We start from the raw sequence: 9,482 nt of genomic DNA, 5'->3' as shown, positions 1-9,482 counted from the left end.
AGTAAACATTATTAATTTGTTCCTTAACCATAAACATCTAGAGGCTCAGAATGCCTGACTTTCTGGGAACGCAGCCCAGCAGGTCTCGGCCTCATTTTCCAGCCCTCACTCAAGATGGAGTCGCTCTGGTTCCAACGCCTCTGACACTGAGACACTCCAGTACCCCCAGACCCTCCTCCTCCTCCCATCTCTCTCCCTTCACCCCTCCCTCCCTCCTCTCCTCTCTCCCTGCCTTCCTGCCCTTGCACTGCCAGGCTGGCATTGAGGAAGGTCGGCTTCCTTCCGCAGACAGCACATTTCAGCCAGCTCAGCTTCCTGAAGGCAACCCTCCTCCAAACCCTTTACAATTTATTTATCTAATTAAAAATCTCTCAGCAGCTCAACATGCTTGAAGAGTTCATATTTAACCAACACTCACGGCCACCCCAACCCATCCAGGCAGGGCAGGCCCTCCCAAGAGCCTTGCCCTCTCAGGCCCTGGGAGCTGGGCTGGGCAGAGCCTCCACTCAGCTCCCCAAGTCCACCTAGAGCAGGGGGGCCGGGCACCCCAGGCTCGCCCTGGCCCCCGCCAGCTGCGTTTCCGGCCAATGAACCTGCCGCTCAAAGCCTCCTTTTTAATTAACTCCATATCTCAGGCGGCCGGAGCACGTGGGCAAACTTCTGTCTGACTTCCCTGCGAAGCCCAAGCACACCCCAGTTTGCTTTCTAAGAATAGAAGCGGGAGATGGCGGGGAGGGAGGAGGCCGGAATCTAAAAATGAATGCGCAGCCCAGAGCGAAACAACCCAGGCCAGCAGAGGGGAAAGAACGCGGCGCACGCGTGCACACACACGCGCGCGCACACACACACGCACACACACGCAGAGCCCAGCCCAGTGGAGCTGTCTGCTGCCATCCTGGGTGTGAGCCGCGGACCTGGCAGCCTGCCCAGCTGTCTGGCAGGGATGGGGGTGGCGGTGGCGCTGCTCATCCCGGCAGCAGGCAGCTGGGGACGCCCATGGGAGTCTGGAATTTTTTTTTCTGGGCCGCTTGGTTTTCCCCAGTAGACAGAGGTGACTCACAGGCTGGCAGGCTAAGTGGCTCAGGGGATCATGAGAGCCCCGATGCTGCGGTGCAAAGTTCCAGGAATTCAGAAACCAAAATGCCTGGGGCAGGAGAAAGGGCAAGACTTAGCCCCCACCAGGAAGACCAGGGAGAAAAGGTAACTCCAGCTCCACTGTTGAGGGGACACTTTGGAAGAAATCGGGATGTCTACTTAGCTGCTAGTAATAATAACAATAAAAACAACACCACCACCAGCTGCCATTCATTGAGATTTTGCTCTGTCACGCTCCGTTCTAAACTCTATACTTGGAATATCTCGTGAGCCTCACAACAGCCATGCGTGGTACCACTACTCCTGCCCCCATTTCCCTGATGAGGAAACTGAGGCCGGGGAGTTTGCTGTGTGCCCAAGCTCACATACTCAGGAAGGGCTACGCCAGGATCTGAACCCAGGCGGGCCTCCTGCACCAGCAGCAGCACGTCCCTGAAAGCCAGCCCTGCCCGTGGGTGCCTATGCTTGCAGCTGTGGCACCCAGGAGTGGCCGGCACCCCGGGCAGACGTGCCGGTAGGAGTGAGGTTATGGTTCAGTATCAGGTAACAACGAACCAAACAGAGAGAAAGTTTTCCCCTCCCAATTGTCTTTCACCCTTCCTAATTATCTGTGAAGGAGAAAGTCTCAGTTGGGTGCCAACTTGTCCTCAACACTCCCTGAGCACTTGGATTCCTTTTTTGAACCAAGAGAGCAGGCTCACGCTCACGTAGACATGGGTAACACTATTTTACTTTCGCGGTGTTTATTTTTCCATCTAGTTTTGGAAAGTTACCCAGATTTCCTCTTAGGGTAGTGATACAGAGTTCACTTTTAAGACAAATTAAGTTTTGTAAGTTAGTCGAACATTTCAGAGGGAGAGAGATACTGAAATATTTGTGGATGCAAAGACATGATTTCTGGGGTATGCCTCAGAGTAATCTGCAGTGGAGGAGCGAGTGAAGACATGGAAGAAACAAGATCAGCCACGAGTGGACACTTTTTGAAGCGAAGTGATGGGTATATTACATATCATTTCAAATATTGTATCTTATATTGCAACATTTAATATGACATGTTATATATAATACATACATTATATATTATGAGTATATTGTATTAGATTAGATTACATTATATTATTCAGGCCACTTTTGTATGTATTTAAAATTTTCCATAATGAAAACATTTTTAATGCTATATAAAAACTTTGTTAACTTATCTTAAAGAAAAAAGCGAAGAAATAGTATGAGTGGCAGCCAGACATGGCAGAAAGTATGACGGTGAAGTGCAGACGACTGAGGTGTGCAGAAGGTTAACAGAGGACATGCTTCCAACATTTCCAAGTTCATGATTTCCTTTTTGGGAAGCAGGGGAAGGGGCAGGCCCTCTCTCCGGCCTCCCTCAAAGCTCTGCCCCTCTGGTCCCCGCCAACCCCTGGTGAGGAAGCCCCCTGGTGAGGTTGGGGGTCTGATGTCATCCTGGCAGACCTTGAGGGGAAGGGCAGAAAGGGAAGCATTGCCATTTTCTCTTTTCCTTTCAAGGATATAAAAGTGCACGATTGCCCAAATGATTCCCATCTGGAAATCTAATGTATTAGGAGTAAACAGTCCTGGCTGGGGTGGGGGTGGGGGAGAGGTCATTCACAGGCCACTCTGCTGGCCCCTCTGGGAGTACACAGACCTTCTGGTCCACCCAGAGCCCAGTACCAGGGAGGGTGAAACCCCTTGGTAGAACTAGAGCAGATCCCGAGGGGCTCTGGGCTTTAAGAGTTGGCCTGAGTGGTCTCGCCCAGCAGATCATGAGCCCATCAGGCAAAGGTAGGAGGAGCCCCCAAGTCCCCACCCAGCTTCAAATCTCTGCCCTTCCCAAAGGACAAGACAGCAGAATGGCTCCTTTCACATAGGTATTCATTTATTCGTACATTCATTCATTCAGTTATTTAATGATTATTAAGTGCCTACTGCATACCAGGGACAGTTCTAGGGGCTATAAATATGAAGAGATAATGATACTTCCCAGAGTCTTAACACTGAGAGGTCAGGATGGACAGTCACTGCCTCCATGTTCAAGTGGGAGATCCAAGACATCCCCAGAGGGGGCAGGCATTACAGAGTGAAAGCAAAGCCCTGTGAACACCAGCAGCTGACTTGTGCGTACGGGATGCCCTGTCCTTTGCCCGCACGACACCCTCCCCCTGCCCGCATCTCCTTTGGTCCCCGCAGCAGCCTGTGAGGTGGTGGTTGGCAGGTGCATTCCACATCCTGAGCTGGGGAGGGGGAACGTGCCCAGGTTCACCCGGCTGGCATGCACAGGGCAGCGATTCCAATCTGGCGACAGTGATGGACTTGCCAATTACCATGCATCAAGCACGCTGTCTCAGGGAGTCTGGAATGGCCCTGCCAGACCCACCTAATGATGCGCCCTTGGCAACTAAGGAAACTGAGGCGCAGAAAGAAATGAGTTCCAAACACAGTGGTGCAATCTATCCGGATCTGTGCTGTCTGACATGGCAATAGCAAGACACGAGTAGCTATTGAGCACCCAGAATCCAGCTATTCCAAAATGACCTGTTGCTGTCATTATAAAATATATGCTGGGATTCACAAGTTTGGTATTTTTTTAGAAAAGTAAAATATTTCATTGATAATTTCCTATTTGATTACATGTTGGAACTATAATATTTTGGATATATTATGTTAAACATAATTTTAAAGTTTAAATATATTATTAAGATGAATTTCGCCTGTCGCTTTTTACTTCTTTTTTTTTTTTTTTTTTTGGAGACAGGCTGGAGTGCAGTGGCGCAATCTCAGCTCACTGTGCAGCCTCTGCCTCCCAGGCTCAAGCCATCCTCCTACCTCAGTGTCCTGCATAGCTGGGACTACAAGCACACACCTGTACACTTGGCTAATTTTTTAATTTTTTGTAGAGACGAGGTCTCACTATATTGCCCAGACTGGTCTCGAACCCTTGGGCTCAAGTGATGCTCCCACCTTGGCCTTCCAAAATGCTGAGATTATAGGCATAAGCCACCATGCCTGGTCTCTTTTTACTTTTTTAAATGTGACTACTAAAAAATTTTAAGTTATATATGTGTCTAACTCCATTTTATAGAAGGGGAAACAGGACACAGAGAGGGATCGGCCTCGTGGGTGCAATCCATACAGTCATGCAGGGCCCCAGGCTCAGAAGGGCTCCACAATTGGTTGAAGGCTCTACTGTTATTACCTTGAAATTTTCAGTAACTTTTCAACAAAGGGCTGCACAGTTGCCTTTTGCACTGGTGCAGTGCACAGAGGGAGGCAAACTGACCACACTGACTAGGCGAAAGCGGGGTAGAGTCAGGTCTACACGCAGCAGCCAGACGTTAAGCCTCGGTGCCATCACTGCAGTCTGGGTTTTGCCACTGCGAGCAGTCACAGGTGGAGCTGTCGGGCACCAGAGCCCCTGCCCCCACCCCCTTCACCACATTCTTGGTGCCTGGATGACCATGGTCCTCTTTCTGGAAAGCCTGAAATGGGCTGTCCTTCAGAATGCACATGAACATTTCCTGGCCTTTCCATTTGACTTTCCCAAACTGGGTACAGCTCCTCCTCTGTTCCAGAAGTCTCCATCCAGCCTTCCAGTGGATTCCTGACTCATTCCTGGGGCAAAGAAAAGTAAAGAGGCCTAACTGGGAGCAGTTTATGATAGGTGGGGATATTATTAAGGTACTTAAGTGGTTATTAACACCTTTTATGAACCTCATTGTTTAAAAGCCTGCCATGCTTAATCATTTTAGCACCATAAAATCAGTATTAACAACAACTCCATTTAATAACACTCATAAAATGCAATGTCTTGGAAAATCTCGGCAGAATAGGTGAGCTCTCAGCTCCCATGCGAATGTGTGTCCTGAGCTTGGCAGGCCTCAAATTAAAAGAGGGTGCCTGTCCTAACCCAGGGCTCAGAATCTGCCCCCACTCAGCCTCTCACCTATTATCTAGAGCAGTTCTTGCCCTGTGACCTCTCTGGCAAATCACAATGAGCCCCAACTTGTAAGAATGCCCCTAAGAGATAGGAGGGGGGTGTTGAGAGGGCTTTTGATCCGAATTATGCTAAGCAAGTCACGTTTGATGTTTTTCATGCTTATCAAACAATAAAGACAAAAACAAATACGTGTTTGCCTTTCTCCCTCGTAGTCTGGAATCGAAGAGGTCTGGGTTCAAATCCCAGCTTTGCTACTCAAAAGCTGTGTGACCTTGGGCAAGTGACTTTGCCTCTCTGTGCCTTCATTTTCTCACTTGTGAAAAGGGGATCAGTCCTGTAAAATTGAGAGAATCTGTGCCTTCAGCATAGTGTCTGGAATCTAGTTCATGCTCAATAAGGTATATTACCTATTAAATTCCAGAGGTAGCATGATTAGCAGACTGGGGTGTATCCTTTCAGACGTTTGTTCACCTACAAGATACATCTGTGTGCATGTTTCTACGATTTTGTTGCCTTCCATCGTTGTTTACAAAACTGAAGCCACCCTATTGGCATTCCTGTCCCTCCCCTCTCCCCTTCTGGTCTTTTCCCACATAGCAGTCGGTCAAGGGGAACCTTCCACCTTGGTGTTTATTGATGCTGTCCAAGAGTCAGCAAAACTTTTCTGAAAAGGGTCAAAAGTAAATATTTTCGGCTTTGTGGGCAATATGGTCTCTATCGCAGTTATTCATCGCTGTCATTGTACCTTGAAAGCAGACTTAGACAATGTGTAAACACATGGGTGTGACTGGGTGCCAATAAAACTTTATGTATGAACTCAGGCTGTGGGCCGGACTTGGCCTGAGGACCGTCATTAGTCAGCCCTGCTCTAGCCCTGCCCTCATGGATAGCTCCTGGGTATCCACTGTGACTTGTGTTGTCAACTACTCAGTCCGCACTAAGTGGGCACTTAGGTTTTTTCCAAAGTTTGACTTTTCAAACAATGGTTGTCAATCTCTGATATGGTTTGGCTGTGTCCCCACCCAAATCTCATCTTGAATTGTAGCTTTTACAAGGCCCATGTGTTGTGGGAGGAACCTGGTGGGAGGTAATTGAATCATGGGGGTAGATCTTTCCTATGCTATTCTCGTGATAGTGAATAAGTCTCATGAGATCTGATGGTTTTATAAAGGGGAGTTTCCCTGCACAATCTCTCTTATCTTGTCTGCCACCGTGTGAGACCTGCCTTTCACCTTCCACCGTGATTGTGAGGCCTCCCCAGCCACGTGAAACTGGGAGTCCATTTAACCTCTTTCTTTCGTAAATTTCCCAGTCTCAGGTATGTGTTTATCAGCAGTGTGAAAACGGACTAATACTATCTCTTACTCAGATCTCTGGGCATTTGTGCCAGGGAGACACATTTCTCCCATGAAGCTTGCTAGGTAATGGGGGAGGTGCCCCTGAGAGTTTTCTAGTCGGGTTTTAAATGCACAAATCATAAGCATCTGCAAAGCAGCAGCTGGGAGGGACATCAAGGGATCAATTGCTGCTACTCTGTCATTTTTGGGACAAAGGCAGAAGCCATTCTAGAAACATGAACTCGCCTAGGCTATTGCCAGAGATGGTGAGGAGTGAGGAAATAGGAACCACGTTTCACGAGTGGAACCTCAGCCTTGGGCTGACAGACACAGGCCCCCTCCTGGAGCTCTCGCTCACATAACTCTTAACAGGCTCTGGCAATCCTACGAGGTAGGGACTGGCATCGTGTGCATTGTTAGATAAAGGCACAGAGGTTGTTAGATAAAGGGACAGAGAGGTGACATCAGAACACACTAGGTCATGGCCCTTGGGTCATATCTCCACAGGATTTATTTTACTTTATGTTTTAAGTGGTTACCAAAATTTAAACATGAGGATATTTCACACAAAAATCAGCATTTCAGCTTCTCTTGAATATTCAGAAGGCCAGTGAGCATGACTCACATGCCTCATGAAGGGCCCAGGCTCAGGCGTCTGACCACCTGCGTCAAAAGCACTACTCTACGCTTACCAGCCCCATGGACTTGGCAAACCACTTATCTCTCTGTGCCTCAGTTTCTCCTGCAATCAAGTGGGTTGCCAAGAGAACAACTTTCCTCCTTCCTCCAGTGGCCCCAGAACGGGTCTCCTTCCAGTTTCTCAAACTCACCAAGGTCTCGCCCACCCCCAGGGCCCTTGCACAAGCCAGAATGTTCCCCACACCCAGCTCCTCTCCAGAGGTAACTCCTCATTTTGTCTTCCTCATCTTAGCTCAGCAGTCAGGTTCTCAGGGAGGATCGTGCAGACCTGCCAATCCCTCCTGTTACTCTCTTGTCCAAATCCTTCCCAGTAGCAGCAGGGTCTGCAGTTATCACACACGTGTTTGCTGTTTATTGCCTATCTCCTCCCCCACCTCCCCTTTCCTTCACAGAATGCTCACTCAGCCACTCAACATCTCATCCTTCTGTGAGGAGGCAGAGCCGGAATTTGAATCCCGTCTCTCTGACCCCAGCGATTCTTTCCTCTCCATCATTTTCCCCCAGCATCGTGGTAGGGATGAAGGCTCTAGAGCTTCACCACTAGGCTTGGGTCCCAGCTCCACCTCCTCCAAGCCATGACACTGACCTCTCTGTGTTTCATCTTCTTCGTCTGTAAATGAGATGACAGTGCCTAACTCAGGGGCTTATATAAGGATGAGGTGAGTTAGCAAAGGGTTCTGAACAGTGCCTTGTGCAGGAAAAACACACAATTAGCCAACATTACATTATCCGTATTCTCCGCTTTCCAGCAGGTACCAAGGTCCCCAAGGCACCTTCCCAACTGGCTCTCTGGCTTCACCCAGGAGCCGGCTGGTGCCAGTCCTGAGCCCTGATCACTTTCCATCTCACTGGCTCCTCCCAGCAGCTCCAGGAATGACATCCAATTGTTATTCCCATTTTAGAGAGGAAGAGACTGAGGCACCAGGAGGTTAAGGAATGTGCCCCAGATGAAAACAGTTGTAAAAACAGAGGGGCAGGGCCCAGACTCACCCCCAAGCCCTTGGCTCCAGAACCCACCCTTAGAATCGTTGTGAAGACAGCCACCTGTGCACAACCTTTGAAGCAGCGATTCCACACTCAAGAATTGATCCCAAGGCGAGGATCAGGCAAGTACCCAGCGGGTAAGGTACAATGGAGCATTGTCCTCAGTAGCACTGTTTACACAGTCATGAAAATCCAGAAACAGCCTAAATGTCCATCCACAGGGGATTGCTCAAATAACGTGGGCTGTATTCAAACTCAAATGCTCTGTTGCCATGAAAGATGATGATAAATCTATATTCATTAGCATGGAAAGCTGTGATAGTTAAGTGGAAAAAAAGCAATCTACTAAACAGCATTCGTAGTGTGATTCTATTTTTGCTTCAATATAAATTTAAATATATATATATATACATATATATATATATATATATATATATATATATACACCCATGTGTGCAAATATGCATAGAAATGAGACTGGAAGAAAATGCATCAAAATGTTAAAAGTAGTGTTTCTGGGCAGTAACATTCTGGATTCTTTCCACTTTCTTTCTCCTTATACTTTTCTGTTTTCTCTATTTTTTGCCATGAGCATGTATTGCTTTTATAATTGGGGGCGGGTGGAGATGTAAAAAACAATTTAGCTATTTTCATTTTGAAAAATGTGCAACTTGCTTTCTGTACTTCAAGATAAATCATGGGCGCCTCTCTAGATCCACAGATAGAAACCAAACCCTTTTTTATTACTGCTGCACTATTTTCTGGAGCTTGGAGGTATTGATATTTACTCGACCATCTCCCCAGTAATGGAGCATCAAGTTGGCCAAGGTTAGATCAGAAAGGTTTCAGGGATGGTTCCCCCATTTATTGAGACAAGGGGGTGCTTTAGAGGTGAGTGGGGAGTGAGCAGGGAGAGAGAAGATAGGTGGGCAGTAAACCTGACCCAGTAGGAAGCTACTTAATGAGCGGCAGTCCTCACCCCAGGAATCTGGTGGGTTTTTTGTTGTTTTTGTTTGAGATGGAGTCTCGCTCAGTCGCCCAGGCTGGAGTGCAGTGGTGCAATCTCGGCTCACTGAAACCTCCACCTCCGAGGTTCAAGTGATTCTCCTGCCTCAGCCTCCCGAGTAGCTGGGGCTACAGGCGCACACCACCATGCCCAGCTCATTTTTTATATTTTTAGTAGAGACGGGGTTCCACCATATTGGCCAGGCTGGTCTTGAACTCCTGAGCTCATAATCTGCCTGCCTCGGCCTCCCAAAGTGCTGGGATTACAGGCGTGAGCCACCGCGCCCAGTCGGAGTCTGTGTTTTAACGAGCCCTCCAGCTGATTCCAAGGCACACTCAGGCTTAAGAACCACTGACTTCAATAACTGCTTGACTACTGTCTGTCTCTTCCATTACAACAGTTCTCTTACCCA

At 48.1% G+C, this 9,482-nt stretch overlaps 4 annotated features.

Annotated features, from left to right (window-relative positions):
- Window positions 348–1,205: an enhancer, noted in NCBI's record as "H3K27ac-H3K4me1 hESC enhancer chr20:56323589-56324446 (GRCh37/hg19 assembly coordinates)". NCBI's record gives its function as "activates a minimal SCP1, AML or CMV promoter by ChIP-STARR-seq in naive H9 embryonic stem cells {active_cell/tissue: H9 hESC(naive)}" and the evidence as "EXISTENCE:reporter gene assay evidence [ECO:0000049][PMID:30033119]".
- Window positions 1,206–2,065: an enhancer, noted in NCBI's record as "H3K27ac-H3K4me1 hESC enhancer chr20:56322729-56323588 (GRCh37/hg19 assembly coordinates)". NCBI's record gives its function as "activates a minimal SCP1, AML or CMV promoter by ChIP-STARR-seq in primed H9 embryonic stem cells {active_cell/tissue: H9 hESC(primed)}" and the evidence as "EXISTENCE:reporter gene assay evidence [ECO:0000049][PMID:30033119]".
- Window positions 3,942–4,441: an enhancer, noted in NCBI's record as "H3K4me1 hESC enhancer chr20:56320353-56320852 (GRCh37/hg19 assembly coordinates)". NCBI's record gives its function as "activates a minimal SCP1, AML or CMV promoter by ChIP-STARR-seq in naive H9 embryonic stem cells {active_cell/tissue: H9 hESC(naive)}" and the evidence as "EXISTENCE:reporter gene assay evidence [ECO:0000049][PMID:30033119]".
- Window positions 4,442–4,943: an enhancer, noted in NCBI's record as "H3K4me1 hESC enhancer chr20:56319851-56320352 (GRCh37/hg19 assembly coordinates)". NCBI's record gives its function as "activates a minimal SCP1, AML or CMV promoter by ChIP-STARR-seq in naive H9 embryonic stem cells {active_cell/tissue: H9 hESC(naive)}" and the evidence as "EXISTENCE:reporter gene assay evidence [ECO:0000049][PMID:30033119]".

Source organism: Homo sapiens, chromosome 20 (assembly GCF_000001405.40).
Source record: "Homo sapiens chromosome 20, GRCh38.p14 Primary Assembly".
Lineage (NCBI taxonomy): Eukaryota > Metazoa > Chordata > Mammalia > Primates > Hominidae > Homo > Homo sapiens.
This window is presented reverse-complemented; position numbering and strand designations above follow the sequence as displayed.